At 38.1% G+C, this 22,261-nt stretch overlaps 1 protein-coding gene across 3 annotated transcripts in view, besides 1 other annotated feature; it reads right to left on the bottom strand.

The window, feature by feature from the left end:
* Positions 1-22,261, bottom strand: part of MACROD2 (mono-ADP ribosylhydrolase 2) — a 2,057,682-nt gene that overhangs the window by 869,737 nt on the left and 1,165,684 nt on the right. The gene's annotated exons all lie outside the window — the stretch shown is intronic.
* Positions 20,929-21,018: an enhancer, noted in NCBI's record as "active region_17555". NCBI's record gives its function as "activates an Ori minimal core promoter by ATAC-STARR-seq in GM12878 lymphoblastoid cells {active_cell/tissue: GM12878}" and the evidence as "EXISTENCE:reporter gene assay evidence [ECO:0000049][PMID:35858748]".

Genomic DNA, 22,261 nt, shown 5'->3' with positions numbered 1-22,261 from the left:
TCAGACTCCTGGGATCAAGCAATCCTCCCATGTAGGTGGGACTACAGGTGCATGCCACCATGCCTAACTATTTTATTTTATTTTATTTTATTGAGATGGCATCTCATTATGTTGCCCAGGCTGGTCTTGAACTTCTGGCCCCAAGCGATCCTCCTGCGTCAGCCTCCCAAAGTTCTAGGATTATAGGAGTGAGCCATCATACCTGGCAAGATCCAATTTTTAACTGCTGAGGAATGGGAATGTAGAATTTCTGTGATTATTTTTATGACAACAAGTTCCCATTCACTGCATTATCTTCCCTCTTACTTAACACAAGCAGTGTAAGTGTATTCTGAAGTTCTGGGATCTGGCCACCATTCCATGTGGGCTAATAAAGGCAAGAAATGCAACCAAATACCTCTATAGATGGTGGTGGAAATGAGAATGGGAGGACAGAAGGCAGCTTGTACAAAAGCAGTTACAATTTTACAACAAAGTAAACCAAGTAAAGCTTCTGACTGGAAAAAATGATGAATTGACCATGTAGCTCATAATGATATTTTAATTTGTCCATTTACCTGCAGGTACCTGTCTGTACATGTTTATAGACGTCACATCAATGAAAGCATAGGTATGTTTAAGATGTACCCTTACGGTGAACACATCCTAAATAGAGTACCTCCATGTCAGCGCCAGAAGATTAAATGAATGAGTAAAGAAATGCTATGTGAATGAATGAATTTTGTAAAAGTATCAACCATCCTACACAATACCAGATGTCTCCAGTTTTTCTCCACGGCAAATCAGGAAGTCTCCTAAAATATTGATAGAAAGAGATGCCTAGGGGAACACACCTGCATGCCTCTAAGTTATAAATAATGCTCCTGTGCTCTGAGTGCCAGAAAAGATAAATTTTTGGCTTATTGATATAAATTATTCTTCCCTCATTAAGGTCTAATGAGCCAAGATTAGAATATCCTGGATTCAGGGTCTTCCGCCCCAGGAAAATCAACTAGGTTCTTTGTGTCTGAGCTTATGACCTTGTTAGCTGGTTTCCTGGCCCACATTTTTACATATTTCCCCACCACCTTTATTCACAGCTCACTAGATTGTAAATGTAAGACACAATTGCACAATCATTTACCCTGGAGATTAAAGTCAGCATTAAACTTACCAATAGCTTTATTGCTCCAACAACCCATTTGATTTTTTATTCCCCTCCCTCTCTCCACTATTCTTATCCCCCACTAAATGAATTTATAGTTTTGTTACTATGGGAAGACAGCTTAGGAATATGAAAAGATATCTGAAGCAAAACAGCAGAAGCAATAAAAATTGGATGCAGAGTTTTACTTAGACTATTGCCTTTTAGGGTCTGTTCTTTTGCTAACCACAAATCTGGTTTCAGATTTTCATTCTACTCAATTCTACAGCAGAACAGATGTGAAGGTCCTGTACTCTAGGGGTATGATCTGACCACCTATTTTGTCATAAGTTTTTTTTTTTTTCAAAGTGATGAATTGATTCTCAACAAAAGGAAACTTTCTTTGAGCAGAGCATTCACTGGATTTAGGAAATCACAAACTCAAGGGAGGCAAATAATCTTCTTCAAAGGCATAACTAACTGCAAATGCAGAGGCCCGTCATTTCCAAGAGGAATTGAATTTAGCAATAAAAAGCAAAGTCAAGGGATGGACATGGTGAGATGTGTAAAAATATAAGGCAACAGGAAGAGGAATGTTTCTCAGACTTGAATGTGAAAATTCACATCAAAATGCATTCCTAGAAAGTACTAAAATAAGGAACACCATCTATAGTAATCCAAGCATGCTATCCAAATACAACAACAAAATAGTTCTAACGGGCCGGTCTTAGAATTAGCAAAAAAAGGTTATATAACATAGTATATGTAAAAGGAAGGAAAACACACACACACTTTCTAAAATTCATTGCTTAACATTTAATCCAAAAGGATAGACATATAACCCCAACACACTGCTGTTGGCCTTTGGCAGTTGAGTACTTTGGACAAGCATTAATGACAATATTAATCCAGAGTAATCAATATGGTCCTGTCTCTCAACCTGAATCCTGATATTTTATTCTATTAATTAATAGCTATTATTAGGAAGAAGATACCTATTGCAGCATTAGCTATAATTGCAAATACAGTTGACCCTTGAATAACACAGGTTTAAATGGCAAGGCCCACTTTATACGAGGTTTCTTTTTTCAATAAATATAATCAATGCACTGTATCTGCAGATTCTGCATCCACCGCCAAACGTGAATCGAAAATACAGTCTGTGTAGGATGTGAAACCTGTAGATATGGAGAGCTGAATTTTCTATACTCGGGTTCTGCAGGGCCAGCTGTAGGACTTGAATCTGCTCTGATTTTGGTGTGGTCAAGGTCCCCCTGTATATAGAGGGACAACTGTAATGAAAAACAGCCCAAATGCACAATAAAAACATGTGTAACTTTTATTCTACTAAATTAATGGGACCACTGCATATAAAATCATTAAGAAGTCACTGTAGTAACACAGAAAATGTTTACGACATAATTAATAAAAAATTGGAATATAAAATTGCACTTAGAACATGATGATTATAACTAGAAAAAACATATCACATTTTCTTAATTTTATGATGCTGTCCATTTTGAGGTGTTGAATTAAAACTGTATGCTGGCCATGTGCAGTGGCTCACGCCTGTAATCCCAGAACTTTGGGAGGCCAAGGCGGGTGGATCACTTGAGGTCAGGAGTTTGACACCAGTCTGGCCTGTAACCACGGAGCGTAGATATTTAGATGTAAGGACAAAACTAGCTTCTAGAGAAGAGAAAAGCTGGGTAATTAGCTATAGGGGGAAAAGTGTTCCCAGAGAGGGCACGGTGCATGCAAAGGCCCAGTGACATGATCGTGCATGGTGTGTCTGTTGAACTAGAAATTCCTCCAGGCTAACAGCTGCAAATGAAATAAAGGGGAATTCATTTCTGAAATTCTCAAACATTACATGATATTAATTTTCTACTTATCCTTAATTCACCAGATAGAAGTTTAGATTTTGTACCACAATTTGTCTGGGTGCACAGGCACCATAATTAGCTTGAACTATACCCCATCTAAATTTCTACGAATTCAATTAGACTGAGCAAAAAGCTAAACGGATAAAAAAAAGTATTTTCAGGTTCCTTGTAATCAACAGTCATTGTAGTTGATTCCAGCAAAACAGACTGTTATGGATTAAATTGTGTCCCACCCCAAATTCATGTTGAAGCCCCAAGCCCCAGTACCTCTGAATATAAATGTATATGGAGATAGGGCCTTCAAAGAGGGGGTTAAGTTAAAATGAGGCTATTAGGGTGGATGAACCCTAATGCAATCTGACTGGTGTCTTTATAAGAACTAGACACAAAAGCGAGAGAAACCAGGGGCACAGGTGCACAAAGGGAGGACCATATGAAGAGTAAGCAAGAGGGTGGCCATCGGCAAGCCAAGGAGAGGAAGCCAAACCTGCCAACACTTTCATCTTGGACTTCCAGACTACAGAACTGTAAGAAAATAAATTCCTATTGTTTAAGCCATCTGGTCTGTGGTATTTTGTCATGGCATCCCTAACACATTAACGCAGAGATGCAATTTGGGAATCTTTAAATTGTCCAATAATATCAAAATGCAAGAAGGCCTAGGTGTTGGTTAGTAAGAATGACCTTGGCAATGCCAAAAACACATTAATAGCATCACTTGCAGCATGCTGTAATTCATAGGTAGGAGGGAAAAAGAGTACCCAGAGTCCCTGTGCTCTCAGCATCCTGTGGACTGGTATCCTTGGGGCTGGGCCAGCTGGATGCACCGTAGGCTGTTCTTGGAGAAGGGCCACTTTCCTTTATTTAGAATGAGAAGAGAGCTGTCTTGTAAGCAGGGTAAAAACAGTCTGGGGGTGAGTGCAAAACAGTCTGCACCCAGATGCCACCTTTTTAGGGCTGATGTCTGGGAGTGTTAGCTGCTAGCATCTGGCAATTTGTGAAACTTGGGTTCAGGTGCAGACACTCCTCCGGGAGAGGGTGGGAGGAGTGGGGGGCTTTGATTCCAAGTAGCTTGTTAACTAGGCAATCCAGGAAATCTGGATGGTAATTTACTAAACAATCTGGCTTGTCTCTGCACAGGTAGAATTGTTTATATCTGTCAATAAAAAAATAAGCTAGCACAAGCATGAGGTAAAGTGCACAAATTTTAAGTACCATTTGATAACTTCCTATATATTTACATGGAGGTAACCACCACCCTAGGCAAGATACAAAATATTTCCAGAGAGCCCCTTCATGCCACCTACCAGTCAATACTCTCACGAAAGGTAACTAATCACTATTCTGGATTTTTGTGTGAAATTCTGATTAGCTCAATCTAGGTTATATAGGAGCCTAAAGTAACCTCAGGCTTATCTAAGAATTTTAGCAGCTACAGTATTTGCTCAGGTAACCACACCATGTCTGCCTCCATCTTGCCCAATCCTCCCTTATGCTTCCTCATAGTCCTGTCTTCTCTTCCATCCTCTTCTTCAGCTGTTCAATTTGCCCCTGCTATACTGTGGTCACTACCCATTACCACAAAGCATAGAGAGCCATGGAAAAGCATGCTTACCCAGATGAGCTGCTTTCCATATGGAACATTGCAATGCCAGGGACCTTTCTGGAAAATTGGCAGCTTGGCCTGCTGTAGTGGTCATTTGTAACATTTTATTCTGCCATGCACATTTTCCCTTCTGAACCTGCCCCTCAGCTGTTGTGGATGAATATCATATGCTGATGGGAGGAGGTGCAGGACACAGAGATTGGTGCAGGTTGAGCAAGGACTCATGCAGAGACATCAGATCCCATTTTCAGGATTGATAGGGAGGTTAAAAGAGAGAAAGCATCTTTCTCCTCTGTAGATCTCAAGCTCTAGCGTAACAACTTAGAGCAAGGGTTATATGCATGCATAGGTGCTGGAGCCAAACTAGCTAGGCAAATCCACTTCCAATCTTTATAATTCTGTGACTTTGGACAAATGTCATAACCACACAGAATAATTGTGAGGATTAAGTAAATACCTCATAGTCATTAAAGTTTGAAGAAGGATGCCCATAAGATGCACTTACAGAGTGGTAGCCACTACTAAGGTTACTTTAGAGTGGAGTGGTAGAGGCATCTTTCCTGCCAGCTGAGAAGTACCTGCATGAGACAGTCCCCATAAAGTAATACAATATCAAGAGAAGGAAGGAGAGAAAGAACTGGAGACCTGAAGACAATCATTTTATGCCTGGATGAAGCCTTACCTGAAGTCACAATCACTGCTTCGGCTTTTAAGTAACCTGAGGCAGTACATTCACTCTCATATTTTTCTTACATTTTATAGAAATTAAGTTTCTGGCATTCACAGTTAGAATGGATTCTGACTACTGTACCCATATAGAAATCCCACAACTCTGATGCAAAGTGTAAACCAATGCTTCCTGCTTTCAGTTATGGTTCACTACAGAGAAAGAAAAAAAAAAAAGCATGCCATTTTTCATTATACCAGGATATAATGTGCATCTAGGGTAAGCAAATGATACACGACCCAATTGCAGCTTTAATTTCTATACTCTTAAATAATAGCCATGACACCAATTCATTCAATGGAAATTTAAATTTTCATTTTCTTTGTCAAAAGTAACTGAGCTGAAGTAGAACCAAGCAAGAGGAGGGAAAAAAAAAGTTTTCTTGTGCTAGTATTCTGTTCTTTCTGTCTTTCCAGAAAAGGAAGTAAATTGTACAGGTGCATTTATTTACTTATTTACCAGCAAACATCACATTCATTAGTGAAACCCTCAACATAGAATGAGGCAGATGACTGGGAAAACAGAAAAAATGCAGAGTTCAGTCTTAAAGTTCCTGTCAGGATACCACTGAAAATAAATTCAGATTCAATGGCGATGAATGAGTCAAAGAGGAGTTTTCTGCAGCAGCTCTGACATGTGTGAACACAGAATGGCAGAGTTGTATTTTTCAATTTGGAAAGTCAGGCTACAGAGGTTTAAAACAAATGCATACACAATGACAATCTTCACCTTCCCCTTTCCACTCCACCCCCAACAGGCAGGGAGGAAGGCAAGAAATCTGTTTGGACCAGTGCGTATTCAACCTTCTAGAACAATCTGGTGTTTCCTCACAATTCAAATAGTATTGTCATGGGATCTATGGAGTGTCTCTTTGCCAGCCAGAAACCTTTCTGCCTGAGTATTGTTCACGCCCACTGGGCTCATTCCACCCACTCGGCCCAGCAGGCTGCACTCAGCTCACGCTACTGTCCTGGATCCCACACCTACCAAAGGTGAGCCAGGCACAGAGAAGTGAGAGGTGTGTGGGCAAGTGAGTGCAGGGTCTGGTCACTGTGCACAGCCAGGCATGCAGGCTGTGGCAGTAGGGTGGGCAGCTCCAGACACTGGCACAGGTGCCAGCTCCATTCAAGGCTGTAACTGGACCAGATGTACTGCACACAGCTTCTGCTGTGTGTACCCATGTCTAGATGAGGGGAATATAGTGGCATCTGGAACCTTGGAGATGCCAGGAACCACAGAGCCCCAAAGAGGGTGTCACAGCTCTGGCTAGGGGATTCCCTAGGTCTGGACTCCCTGAAGGGATGCAGCTCTTCTCTCCTTCTCATTGCCTGCAACATGGAAGGAGGGGGAGCATGTTTCAGCCCTGTTTGTTACAGTTCTGCTTGGGTTACAGCCATTTGGCATGTCCTGAGTTCTTGTTCCACATCCAGGAAGAATGAGATAGATGGACAATTGGGGGATGAGCAATGTGGAGAGGAGCTCCATTGAGTGACAGAACAGCCCTCAGGAGACCCGAAGTGGGAAGCTCATTTCCACAAGCAGGTCATCCCTAAGAGTGTCCAGCTCTCAGCAGAGAGGAGACTCGTAGGCAGTAGCTCCTTCCTGCAGCTGGTAGTCCTGAGGTCTGTTCAAGTCTGGCTGAGTCTGGGGTTTTTATGGGCTCATAAGGGAGGAAGTGCATGCTGATTAGTCCATAGGTGGCCATGGGCAGGGCCAGAAAAAGCACCATAAGTTCTCACTCTGGGCTGCAGACTTCATCAGGAACTGGCAGCCCAGCCCACAGGCTTCAGGCTTGAAGGTGGGATTTCACCAGGGACCTGCCCCTTTTTGTCCAGGAGCCTGTCTGCCTTCTGCTGCCATCAACATGCCATCCACAACGCCCAGGCTGTTCCTGCCAAGGGGTACCTGCAGGCCCACACTAAGCTGCCCTCAGCCCCTCCTTTGCTTCCCTCCCATGCTCCTGGGTTCCCAAAGTCTAGAGGGGGCCAAGGCAGCAGGGGGCTGGCGTGTCAGCACCTCTGAGAATACACATACCTGGCCACATTGCAACAGCACCCAGCCTCAGCCACAACTTTGCTCTGCAGCAGAGAGGGTACTGGGAGCAGGGAGAGGCCAGGGGGCAGAAGCAGGCACTTCTAAGCCTGTTGGGGCAGGAGGGCTTCCCAGGCCTCCGAGAGTGCAGAGATTCCCAGGTCTGGAGCCACAGTCGGGCAGCTGCTGTTGCACCCAGGAACACTGGGCTCCTGCCCCATCAACTTGGTAGGGGCTGGGGCTCCCGCCTGTTCCTGGCCCCCACTGGCTCTATGGAGCACACAGCCATGGTTGCACCTAGCCATTGCAGCCAGTGTCTTTGCAGTGGCTCCTCCAGATGGGCCGCCACTGCCATCAGTATAAAAAACTAAACATGAAAACTCCTATCATAAATTATTGTAATGTCTCTTTGCTTGAATTCTCTCTCTGAAATTTCTATTTCATCCCCCAAATGGCAGGCACAAAGTCATCTTATATTTCATGAATTTTCCAATAGCTAAGTCAATATGACTAAGTCTACCATTAGCATTCAGCAACTAAACATTTTAAGTAGTGTAATTATACAAGAAACCTGGGTGGTAAAATGACTATTCATGGTTTCTATATTCATTGTAAAAGTTTGCCATGCATATCTTTTTTTAAATTTTATTTTTATTATTATTATACTTTAAGTTTTAGGGTGCATGTGCACAATGTGCAGGTTAGTTACATATGTATACATGTGCCATGCTGGTGTGCTGCACCCATTAACTCATCATTTAGCATTAGGTATATCTCCTAAAGCTATCCCTCCCCCCTCCCCCCACCCCACAACAGTCCCCAGAGTGTGATGTTCCCCTTCTTGTATCCATGTGTTCTCATTGTTCAATTCCCACCTATGAGTGACAATATGCGGTGTTTGGTTTTTTGTTCTTGCGATAGTTTACTGAGAATGATGATTTCCAATTTCATCCGTGTTCCTACAAAGGACATGAACTCATCATTTTTTATGGCTGCATAGTATTCCATGGTGTATATGTGCCACATTTTCTTAATCCAGCAATGGCAACAAAAGCCAAAATTGACAAATGGGATCTAATTAAACTAAAGAGCTTCTGCACAGCAAAAGAAACTACCATCAGAGTAAACAGGCAACCTACAAAATGGGAGAAAATTTTCACAACCTACTCATCTGACAAAGGGCTAATATCCAGAATCTACAATGAACTCAAACAAATTTACAAGAAAAAAACAAACAACCCCATCAAAAAGTGGGCAAAGCACATGAACAGACACTTCTCAAAAGAAGACATTTATGCAGCCAAAAAAACACATGAAAAAATGCTCACCATCACTGGCTATCAGAGAAATGCAAATCAAAACCACAGTGAGATACCATCTCACACCAGTTAGAATGGTGATCATTAAAAAGTCAGGACACAACAGGTGCTGGAGAGGATGTGGAGAAATAGGAACACTTTTACACTGTTGGTGGGACTGTAAACTAGTTCAACCATTGTGGAAGTCAGTGTGGCGATTCCTCAGGGATCTAGAACTAGAAATACCATTTGACCCAGCCATCCCATTACTGGGCATATACCCAAAGGACTATAAATCATGCTGCTATAAAGACACATGCACACATATGTTTATTGCGGCACTATTCACAATAGCAAAGACTTGGAACCAACCCAAATGTCCAACAATGATAGACTGGATTAAGAAAATGTGGCCATGCAAATCTTTTATGCTCATATATTTTACTTAAAAAATATGTGCTGGATTATTATCTTAATCAATTTAAAATTCTTCTCCTAAATAATAAAGGCCACAAGTAACATTTTGTTACAAATAGAAGAAAGCAGAACAGATATGAAGAAACCATACATTTAAAGATTTTATATTAAGACGAGACATTGCACTTGAGTGTAAAAATAATAAAAATTTGTCATTTATATAATAATCTACATAGTCTAAAATTACCATTTAAATGCACAATAAGCATTAGGAAAATCATGATTTAAAAGTCTTGGGTGTATATGTTTGGGCTTTAGCAATGAAGTAAGTTTTCAGTGATAAATTATGCTGCACTCAGACTTATAAAAGAAACTTCTATTATTGATTAGTAGCTTAGAGAATACAGACACTTTTTTAACCAATGAACAAAACATTTTATCTCGAAGTCTATGCTTCAGGAGACATGTAGGTAAGAAAGATAAAGTCAACAATGCAACATTTCATTGTATACCATTAACTTATACTTTGAGTTCATGAGGGGTAAAAATGTAGTAATACTCAGATTACAGTAGGACTCCTTATGAGTGCTTCAATTAAAAATATGCAACCGTGATATCACCATGCTAAAAATTGGTTCTGCATGACTGAATCTGAGGCCCACTGAAATGACTGTATTTATACCCAATTATCAAGCTATAACCTTTGACTTCCCTTTAAAACTGTCTGCCAAAAAAAAATTGAATTAAAACACAGCTTGAAATTCAGCCAGCTTCCAGAATTCACCTTAATGGAATGGATTCTCTGTGCTACATGGGACAAGAGTGATGTGATGAAGGTTTTTGCATTGACATTTAGGGATCACAGCCTCTTTCTCTACAATAAGACATTCCTTCGATTTGCCAAAGTGAGTAAGGAAATTGCCTACCCCCAATTAGGAGAAGATAAAAAAAATCCTATCACTTTGATCTGATAATGAATATGCTCCATTGGGCTGAAATAGAGAATCTTTTTGGACAGCTTCTCTTTAACTACATAGGTCTGTTTAGCAAACATACAGTGAGTGAGTTCTCACTTTCTCATCCAAGCAAATATCAAAGGAAGCATTTTCAGGAAATCATAATCCAAACCTGCAACTATTTAGAAACAATGTGCAAAATTAATTATATATTAGATAAAGTTGAATAGTAATGGATAATTTCTTTGAGTCTAGGGTTAAATTAATTTTCATAGATTTATTATTTAAAATTTGCAAAATATTTGAGTCCCTGAAAAAGATAAAAAAAGTTTAACACACAGACCCACACAAACACACACGCACACAGGCACACACACAGTTTATATATGTTCACGTTATATTTTTTAATTAATATTCTTTTAAGTTTCTGTTCATTTTGAATGGTTTTTATGTCACTTGAAATATGGGGGCAAACTTATTCATAACATGCATGAAAGCTTTCAAGCATTTTCTCTTACAGATTAGTAAAATAGTAAATTTTCAGCAAGCCACATACACAGTAATGCTTCCCCAATTAATTGTATTTTCATTTTAGTATGGCTCTACTGGCAGGTTGCTAATAAATTGCTGATAATTATTAATCTGCACTTGACTAGTCAATGTTCAGATCTTTTTCAAGAGAGGCACTCCATAAAGATTTACAAGTTTTGCCAAGTGAGGGGCTCACGCCTCTAATGTAAGAACTTTGGAAGGCCAAGTCTAGAGGATGGCTTGAGCCTAGGACTTCAAGACCAGCCAGGGAAATATAGTGAGATCCCATCTCTACAAAATTAAAACAAAACAAAAGAAAAAAAAACAAAACAGTAGCCAAATATTGTGGCAGGCGCCAATAGTCCCAGCCACTCAGGAGGCTGAGGCAGGAGGATAGCTCGAGCCCAGGAGTTCAAGGCTGCAATGAGCTATGACTGCACAACTGGATGTTGAGACCCTCTCTCTAAAATAAAAAAGGAAAGAGAAGGAAAGAAATATTTACCAATTTTATAAAGGCAAGTGGAATTTCTCTTGGTAGATCTCAATATTCCTTCCCCAACTTGTTTTGTCCGGTCTCCAGATTTTTGGCCTTCTTTAACTGACTCCCACCAACCTCCATTTTTTTTTCCACTGGAGTCCCTGAGGCTACAAGATTTGCAGATTTTTCCTTTTTGCCTCTTCCTCCACTGTTGTACACATTTTGGGATCCCTGGTAACTATGACAGAATCTTAGAAGCTTCTCACTGTCTTATGAATGCTTCTCTGACTCCTATGATTGATCTCAAAAATCAAAATGGGAAACCATCTTGAGCTTAGGTCTTTTAAGAAAAAAATTAATTAGAATATGCTTATTTAATATTTCCCTTCTGGAAAGCTCTAAAATTTGACTGTATTCATTCATTCATTTTTTATTCATTCACTCATTTATTTATTCAGGAAGAATTTAATAAGCACCTTCCATGTGCAAGGTATTGTGCTAGCTGCTGGGTAGACACTGCTGATAAAGGGACCTGGTCCAGTCTTCAGGGAACTTAGAGTGTAGTGTGTGGGACAAAGGAGCCATGAAAATACAACTACATCATTTAAGTTGTGGGAATGTCAGGAAGGATTTCAGAACAAAACACAGTGATAGAGAATAATGGGATAGAAGGAGGAGAACATATTTCATTTAAAGTGTTTTCAAAGAAAGTCTCTTTGGAGAGGTGACTTTTAGCTGAGACCTGAAGTATAAACAATTGAGAGAAAGAGAGGGGAGAGAGAGAGAGAAGAGAGACTGAGTGGGATGGTGGGATGTAAGGGCTAAAGAAAGTACAAGTTAAGTTTTTGCAGATCAGGAAGCAACTTGTGAAGATTCTAATACTACAAAGAGCTTATTGAATCTTGTTACTATGTAAAAGTGACTATGGGGTCAGGGGGTGATAAGGAGAGTGATGGGGGAAGGTAGGAGAGCAATGGTGAAGGAGAGATGGAAGGGGAGAAATGGAGAAAGAGAGACACAAGGAGAAAGGTGGGGGAAGGATGGAGGGGAGGAGATGGAGGGGCAAATTTGGATAGGGAGCTAGAGAGACAGTGGTGGAGGAGGAGAGATGGAGGGAAAGACAAAGGGAGAGAGATAGAGGGGAAGTGATGGAGGAGTAATAGAGGGGGAGATGGAGGGAAAGTGATGGAGGAAGAGGTTACAGAGACCATGATGATGAAATAGGCCAGTCTAAGTACTGCCAATAAACAGAAACCTCGAACTTAAGTGATTTGGGAAGAAGATTCTTAGGATCCTCCTCCACGCTAGGTCCCCCAGGGGGATTTTGCTTGGCTCTCCTCCTCTCTCTGGCTGTCGTCTTAGGGTCCTACTTTACTCTAGCTTAGGGTCTCTGAAATTTTCCATGGTCTTAGATGACAGCGACCGCCCTGCCATACTGAGTAAAACTTTCCACCCAGGCTAACTGCCTGGTGCTCAACAGCCCTGCCAATCTCTCTCTCTAAGCTGGGCAGCCAGCAGTGGGTTGGTGTCTAGGTGTTCAGCACCATGTTAATGCTGGAACACTTGGTATTTTCAACTCTTCAGCAGCTTTTCTCTGGGGAAGCTGAAAAGCCTTTGCTAACCCTAAAGTTTCTTCCCTGTGACAACTGAAAACACTGTTCTTTGGGGCTTGTACTGTGTCACATGGCTGTGCAGGAATTGCATTTCCCAGAGTCCCCCAACTTAAATGGCTCTGGTTTGAGTTGGCCAGAGTATGAATCTGTGGGAGCTCTGAGGATGAATTGGTGCAGCTGCCCTTGCTCTCTTCAGGTGGTCATGGTCCTGGTCAGAGATGGTGAGGAGCCAGCATGTCCTAACTCTCCCTGTGCACAGCCAGCTCTTCTTCCAGACCTCTAGGGCTGCTGACTACCAGGCCCACCAGACCCATCATCAGATGCAAGCACAACAGTTCCTCTGCAGTTTCTCTCCAGAAGCTGGTCCTACCTGACTTCTCATTTATCCTTGTAGGCTTCAGTGCTTCAGAAGGGTAGGTAGTGACTTTTCTCTGATCTCCCTATGCTATGCTTTAATCTCTACTTCTCTACCTTCTCAAATATTGTATGACTTCTTAGGTCACTAGTAAGTCCCTTATTGCATAATATTCATGTGGTTTTTCTTCCTAAATTGAACCCTGAACAATACATGCTCTATTATCCTGAAAAAAGAATTCAGCTTTATCTTCAATTTAGGAATTTAGGAAAAACTAGATAGTTATAAATTAGCAAGCTAACCTAAAGAGTTGTTGAGTTTTGAATAAATTACAAGAATAAACCTTAACTGTACTTCCAATTCTATTAACTACTGATTACCATCTGGCTTGTAAGGCAACATGGCCGTGTTTTGCATGTTGCTTTCTTTGGGCAGCAAAAGCATAAAACTAACAGAGAGATAGATTGATCTTAATCCCAGTATTCCAACAAAGAAGATTATGTTGATGGATATAACTAACCTAAGTAAAATACAGTGACAACAAAACCATCATAGAAAATAGGAAAGTCATCAATAAATAACAAAGTTCACTGATACATTCATCTTCATTAAAAGACCAGAATTGTCTCTGAGGGAAATGCCCACATCTGATAAAAGGAAAAAAAAAAGCTTTCAGGTCATTTGTGCCTATCATCAATAAAGCATCTTGTAATTTTGCTAAAAGTGCATAGCAATAAAAAGACAGATATACTGGAACAGGACATATGACTAAAACTACATCAGTGGTCATTAAGTAAAGACAACTTGATTTTTTTCTTCTTAGAGAAAACTAGACAATTTCCTTGCTTAAATCCCTCTGCAATAACTGGGTCATCCCAGAGATGTGCTAATTCTTTTAATTCTTGCAAATAAATGTCTTGTACCCTGATAGTGGCTGGTGCAGTTACTTCCTTCAAGAAAAACGGTGGCCCCTTAGCCAAGAACGTGGCTCTGTTAATGAACTCTAGCAATCCAGAGGCCAAAAAAGACTATAAAAACTGAAAATCTCCAGCTTATTTTCAGCTTACTGAAAAGTATTGCACTTCCTTTCACTTGAGTAGCTCAAGAAATAGTCCTCCACTCCTCTTCCCCTCCATCTGATGTCATGCTGAAGAACTTTATTCTTAAAAAAGTTGGGAAAAGAGAAATAGAATGCATTCTTAGCATGAAATACAAACACAAGCTACTTTTGTTCATCTTCCTGAGCTGCTTTTTTAACTGTGGTGAAATATACATAACATAAAATGTACCCTTTTAACCAATTTTAGGTATACAGTTTAGTGGCATTAAGTATATCACTATTATTGTACAACAATCATCACCATCTGTCTCCAGAACTTTTTCATCTTCCCAAATTGAACTCATACCCATAAATAATAACTTCCCATTATTCTGTCTCTCCAGCCTTTTTAAACCACCATTCTACCTTCTACCTCTATTAATTTGACTACTCTAGATATCTCATATTAGTAGAATCATATGATATTTGTCCTTCTGGATTTGGTTTATTTCACAAAACATAATGTTTTCAAGGTTCATTCATGTTCTAGCATATATCAGAATTTCATTTTTTTCTTTTGTTCAAGAGATGGAGTCTTGCTATGTTGCCTAGGCTGGTCTCAAATTCCTAAGCTCAAGCAATCCTCCCACCTCTGCCTCCCAAGTATCTGGGACTACAGGAACTCACTATCACACCTGGCTCATTCTTTTTATGGCTAAGTAATATTTCATTGAATGTATCTACCACATTTTGTTTATCCATTCATCTGCCAATGGACATAGCAGTTGTTTCCACCTTTTGGCCTTTGTGAATAATGCTGCCATGATCGCTGGTGTACAAGCATCTGTTCGAGTCCCTGCTTTCAATTCCATCTTTCTGAGTTTTTAAATGATGGAAATAATTCATGTCAACACACACACACACACACACACACACACACACACACACACACACACACATCCCACAATGTGGAGAGAGGAAGAGGCTTTTAGCTGACCATGTCGGCAAACTTTTGGCAGCACAGAAAGTGTATTCATCCTTGGCATAGGATCCTAGGATCCTAGAATGCCCTCGATTTATATGTATTAAAATCAAGAGGCCCAGGGAAAGTAAGTGACTTACCTGAGGTGACAGAGAAATAGTCAGTGCCGTCTCCAAGGTCAGAACTGCCCAGAATCTCTTGATTTTTAGCCCAGTGATCGCTCCACCACATCACGCTGATGTGAAGTATTATTGTTTAGTCCCTCCAGGCTTTGAGCAAGGAGCTTTGCTAGTAACATAAACACCACTCTTACACACCCCACGGTCATGCTGGCTTTTATAAGAATTATGTATTTCAAATGCCAGTTTACCTAGTCATGCTATTTATTATTTCTACTTTTGTTTTATGATTGAGAGAGGTGTGGGGACAGAGGAAAGACCTTGTATACTTCGTATCTAATTTTACATATTCCACATACATTCTGCCAGTGCTTATTTTTCCAGATTTTGTGGTCTCTGCAAAGGTAAAAAGATGTCCTGCTCTCAAGAAGAATACAACCTAATATTTCTGAATGTGAAATTCTGTTCCTGGTAGACTCATTTACTTCAATATCTCTACTCACGGTTTAAAGAACATCAGGTTGTCAGAACTGGTGTGTTTGTAAGAAAAAACCTGGGTGGGTGGAGCCATGAGGATAAACTGAGTGAATTATATTTTTTGCACTTTGAACTTCTAGTCCGTGAAGAGCTGGGAATCATTTCATGCCTAAAGGGTCTGCTCTGACCTTTGATATAGAATTTCAGAAGGTATAATGTAATTATAGTAGATAATGAGAGCAGGGGAGGCCTCTGAAGAGCAATTGTAAAAAGCATATTTTTTTGAGTAGGTTTTAAAGACAAATGTAAACCTCTAACTTCCTAATTTTTTGCTGATCTCTTCTGGGATGTATGACTGAATACAGCGAGGAGGAGGAAGAATAAAATGTTCTGGAACCAGAGCATTCCACTTAACAGTGCTTTGCAGGAAACAAGGTTATCTTAAATTTCAACATTTACCAACTAATGCTAAGTAGGGGTTATGAGTTTTCACAAATACAGATAAAGCTAGGATGATTAAAAGAGCACTATTAAGAGAAGTAAGTAGTTGCCTGAGATATACAATACTTTGGTTATATTCAGAAGTGTTATAACGTTTACTTCACTTTTACACACTTCTTGTATCTTTAAAAGACTGTTTACACTTTTTTTGGTAATGTATAGAAACTCAATGTATTTTTTGTGTTTTAACCCAGAAACTCTGTTGAACTTTCTTAATAATTCCAGTAATTTTTCTGAAGATTCTTTTTGCTCTATGTAGACAATAAGTTCATCAGAGAATAATTTTAGTATTTTTCCCCTAAATTTAAATACTTAAATTTAATAATTTCATACTTAAATTAAATACTTAAATTTAATACTTAAATAATTTAATACTTAAATTAAATACTTAAATTTAATACTTAAATTAAATACTTAAATTAATACTTAATACTTAAATTTAATAAGTTAATACTTAAATTTAATAATTTAAGTATTAACTTAAAACCTTCATTTCTGTTTCTTGAAATTATTTGCTAGCTAAGACCCACATCATAATCTTGAATGGCTTTTTTTCTGATTTTTAAAGGAAAGTCTTGTAATGTTTCAACAGTAAATATTTAAGACTAAATAAATACCCTTAATCTAGTTAAAGAAGTTCTCTTTTATCTGTAATTTGTTTGAAATTCTTAAAAAAATGCATAGATTGTTGTATTTTATACTTTTTTTTTGTTTCTATTGAGATGATCTTATACTTTGTCTCCTTTAAATTATTTTAAGCATAAATCTCTCAGTCTGTTCAGGCTATTATAACAAAGTAGCATAAACTGGTGACTTATAAACAATGGAAATTTATTTTTTACATTCTTCAGGCTGGAAGAGATTAAGATGCCAGGCTGCTTGGGTTCTAGTGAGGGCCCTCTTCTAGGCCCTCTTGAAGGCCTAACTTCTTGCATATTCACATTTCAGAAAAGAGAGAGCCTTCTGTGGTCTCTTTCATAAGGGCATTCATCTCACTCATGAAGCCTCCACCCTCATAACCTAATCACCTCCCAAAGGCTTTAATTCCTAATACCATTACATTGGGGCTTAAGGTTTCAACACATAAATTTTGGAAGTACACATTCAGTCCACTGTAGTAAAATCCAGTGATTTTTTAGGAAATTTACAGGGTTGTCCAACCAATCTGGTTTTAGAACATTTTATCACTCCAGAAAGATCCTCCGTGCCCATTTGCAGTCAATACCTGTTCCTACCCCCAGCTGCATGCAAGAAACCACTATTCTGCTTTGGATACGTCGTTTATAAATATTTCGCATCAATAGAATCATGCAATATGTAGCCTTTTGCATCTGGCTTCTTTCACTTAGCGTAATATCCTTGAGGTTCATCTATGTTGTAATATGTATCCATAGTTTCTTCCTTTTCATTGCATTTACCAGTTGATTGATAGACATTTGGACTGCTTCTAGTTTGAGCATATTATTTTGAATTTTTGATACGGTAAAATTATTTAATATATTTCTTAATGTTAAAAAAACCCTTATATTCTTACACTTTTCATTTCTTGCACTGCCTTTGTTGGGTTTGGGCATGAAGATTATATTGGCCTCTTAACATAAGTTTGGAAACGTGCATATTTTTGGAATGATTTTATGAAATAATCCTGAAATGATTTTGAAAGTTTGGTAGAAATTGCCTGCGCATAATAAGTGTCACTTTGTTTGGGGAAAGTTTTTGTACTACTGAATTAATTTGTTTTATGGTTACAAAACCAGATACAATAATTCTAAGTCACAATTGGTAAATTACACTTTTTTCCCCAAGGATCCTATTTGTTCATCATATCTAAGTTTCCGAATTTATTTGTGTCTAGTTGTTCTTTTTTAGATGCAGTTTTGCTCTGTCACCCAAGCTAGAGTGCAGTGGCACAATCTTGGCTCACTGCAACCTCTGCCTTCCAGGTTCAAGCCATTCTCCTGCCTCAGCTGCCCAAGTAGCTGGGATTACAACTGCACACCACAACACCTGGCTAATTTTTGTATTTTTAGTAGAGATGGGGTTTTACCACGTTGGCCAGGCTGGTCTCGAACTCCTGACCTCAGATGATTCACCTGTCTCAACCTCCCAAAGTTCTGGGATTACAGGCGTAAGCCACCGTACCCAGCCGGTGTCAAGTCTTTCTTACCTTTATATGTGAAATGTTTTTGTCGCTTGTTTTCATTTATATTTTAATTTTCACTCCTATTATATATATATTTGTTGATCAATCTCAGCAGATATTTCATTGCTATTTCTAAGGAAACAACTTTTTTGTTGAATTGTGGCCTCTGCAATTTTCTCTATAGTTTGTTATGACTTCAGTAATTTCTACCTCTTATTCTTTCTTCCTTCTAGCTCATTTATGCTGATATTGATATTTTTACGGCTTATTTATTTTTTTAGAGACAGTCTTGCTCTTTTGCCCAGGCTGGAGTGTAGTGGCCTGACCACAGTTCACTGCAGCCCCTAACTCTTGGGACCAAGTGATCCTCCTACCTTAGCCTACAAAGTAACTGAAACTACAGGCACAAGCCACCATGCCTGGCTAACTTTTTTAAATTATTTTTTGTAGAGACAAGGTCTTGCTATGTTGCCCTGGCTGGTTTTGAACTCCTGGCCTCAAGTGGTCCTCCTGTCTTGGCCTTCCAAAGTACCAGCATTACAGGCATGAGCCACCATACCCAGCCTGTTACTTCTTCAATTAGCCTTACACCTCATTAATATTCAATCTTTATTTTTTCTAATATAGCATGTAAAATTAAACATACACCTTGATTGCATCTCAAGGATTTTAATATGTACTGATTTTATTATGATTCAGTTCTAAGTGTTTTTAAATTTTTATTATGATTTTTAACCAATAAATTACAGTTGTTCCTGTCTTTGTGGGGTTGGTTCAAGGCCTCTCTCCTTCCCACCTTCTCATACCAAAGTCCACAAATGCTGAAGTCCCTTATAAAAAATGGCATATTAGAAAATAATGTACACACATCTTCCTGTATACTTTAAATCGTCTCTAGATTTCTTATAATACCTAATACAATGTAAATGTTATTTAAATAGCTGTTATGCTGTATTTTTATTTGAATTATTTCTTATTGTAACTTTTGTTTTATTTTTTTAAAATATTTTCTATCCACAGTTGATTAAATCCACAGATGTGGAACCCACAGATATGGAGGGCTCACTGTATGTCCTTTGAGTATTAAATTTTGCGAAATAACAATTGTTATTTTCTCTGATTTTTTTTCTTAACATTGATTGCCATCAGACACACTATGTATTTTATTTATTTACTTTACTTTTTGTCTGCCTCCCCCAGTAGAATGCAAGTGTCCTCAGAAGGATTTTTGTCTGTTTCATTCACTGTGCTATCATTTTCAGTGCCTAAAGAATTGCCCAGCATATAATGGGTTTTGATAAATATTTATTGAATGATGACATATGAAATACATTGGACTTTTCTCTATGGCCTATAACATGAGTCAGCTTTTTCTGTAAAGGTTTACATAGTAAATATATCAGGCTTTGTGGACCACATGTGGTTTCTGTCATACATTGTCTTTTTGAAAAAAATTTACAATCCATTAAAAATGTTAAAAAAAAAAAGGTTTTAATTTGAGGGTCATACTCAAACAGGACATGAGCTGGATTAGGTCTGTCAGCCATAATTTGCTGATCCTTGGCCTAGAATATGGTCAACTCTTATGACTATTCAATAAATCCCAGAAAATATTAATTTCTAATTTTGAAGATCAGGTTTCTATACTTATGTAAATTACAAGCTTGTTAATTGTACTATTCAAAGCTTCTAATTTGTTGTATTAGATTTACCTCTTAATTAGTGAGAATGCTATTTCTAAATCTCCTACTAAAATTATAGACTTGTTCATTTCTTCTAACAGTCATATCAATCTTTGATTGTCTAATAACATCATATCTTTTTAAATAGTATTTCTGACAAATCTTGTAAATAGTATAAAGTTCTTTTTTTTTCCTGAATAGTTTAATCTTCTGATAATCTCTGTATTTTAACCAGGGAAATTAGTCTTTTTATGCTTATGGTGATAATTGAGGTAGCTAAACTATATGTCTTTTCATTTTTATTTTCTCTTTTTTCCAGTCTTATGTCTTTTCTTTGGATTCACTGATTATCCCTGACCCTATTCTGTTCAATTCAAACTTAAAATTCATGTTATAGTTTCAGTGTTTACTAGACTTTACAGATTATTTTAATCTCCTTGTAAACAATATAAGGGCTTTAAAATGCTTTAACTTAGATCATCTACCTTTCAGCTTACCTGCCATGGTATTCTGTTTATTTGTTGTATCTAATTTGTTTAATGCCAAATTTAATGTTTAATGCATATTATTTTATACAGTCATGTTTATTTACACTTGATTTCTCCTTTGTTATCACCAAGCTTTCTTGTCTTATAAACCTCTTTGATATTATTTCAATTATTGTGTTTCTCCCTGAATGCATGCTATATTAGGAAGAACTTGTTGATTATAAACTTACCCAGTTTTTGTTAATCTGAAATCATGCTATTTTATTCTTGCTCTTAAAAGATAACTTTTCTACATACACAAATACGTATTGAGAGTTATTTTATCTAAGCATGTTTCCTCCACACAGCATTTACTGTTGCTTCTGTCAGTTGCCAGAGGGTAGTTCCAAAAAAGAAATCATTTTTATTTCTGTGCTAAGGGTTTGAACCACAAAGCCACAGAAGCAATGTCGATAGTTACAAATCCTCAAGAAGAATTCTGAGTTTTAGTTCTACTTTCATTTTCCATTTGTAGTAGTCATGGACATAGCCAGGTTTTATGACATCTCTCTTTGCTGGCAGGTGGATTTTTTTCCTGGACCACCCTTTCACCACGAATATAACCTTCTTAGTGTCTAACTTTATGCAAACATCTCAGATTCAAACGTATCTTTGTCCAGGTTCAAGGTCTAGTCTTCCATTTTCTCTTATGGCTATTAATTTTCACAATGCCTTCAAGTCATCCTGAGCCTCAGCTCTTACTTACCACTCCTACCACTCCTCTTTCTGCTCCTAGTCCTTTTTAAAAAACAATACAATACAAAACAAAAACAAAAACTTGGGGATCTCCTTTACTTTCTTGAAAGCGCAGCAAGTCATTCAAATGTCCGTTATTACTCAGCTTCTAGGTAGTTTTCAGCTGTAAGACTCTTCACGATATTTAGTCCCTTCTACTGTTAGAATAGTAATCTGTATTTTATCTTCTTTATTTCTAAGATGGTTTTTAATTAACCCCATTAAGCCATTTTAATACAATACAACACCTATATCGATTGATTGATTTTCATCTTATCAACATCTAAAAAGTGCATTTGTTTTGACTTCTAGTCAGGATTAAATTCCAAACTGCAGGGAGAGATAAATTCAATAAAGTATCTTATTTTGATTTTGACTTTGATTCTTCTGAATGTTGAGTGATTAATTCTATGCTTTGTTTAAACATTGATGAGGAAACTCCTCATTTCTGCATCTACGTAGAAATTAAGTGTAGCTGACAGGTTCCAGAGACAAGCATTCTAAACTGGATTTTCTTCTTTTATTGAATATACCTTTGTCTCTTGAGAAAATAAAATGTAAATTAGTGAGATAATGCAGCTGAACCAGCATCCAGATGGTGTTTTTTAGAAGAAAATCGTAATTTACTGGATTTTTTCTTCTCTTCTATACTAAGCCATATGCTTATTACAGCTTCTTTGTATATTTACTAGTAGCCCACTTAGAATGGGCAGTATGTACAAATATTATGAGATTCCTCTTGATCTAAGATCAGAAGAAACACACGAAGATTTTAACTAGAGTTAATAGTACATGAACACTTTTAACCAGTGTGTAGGAGGTAATATTTTATTAATTATACTATATTATATTACATTATTATATGTTATTACAATTATTTATTAATAATTTTCATATTATATAAATATAACTCAAATTATCGTACTATAATAATATAACTTGATTTAGGTCCAGTTTGTACCATTCCCAAAAGACCTGCAAATGATTTTTTTATTGAGCATATTATGTCCTCAGTTGTGTTAATCATTTTCAGAT

Source organism: Homo sapiens, chromosome 20, assembly GCF_000001405.40.
Source record: "Homo sapiens chromosome 20, GRCh38.p14 Primary Assembly".
In the NCBI taxonomy this organism is placed as follows: domain Eukaryota; kingdom Metazoa; phylum Chordata; class Mammalia; order Primates; family Hominidae; genus Homo; species Homo sapiens.
This window is presented reverse-complemented; position numbering and strand designations above follow the sequence as displayed.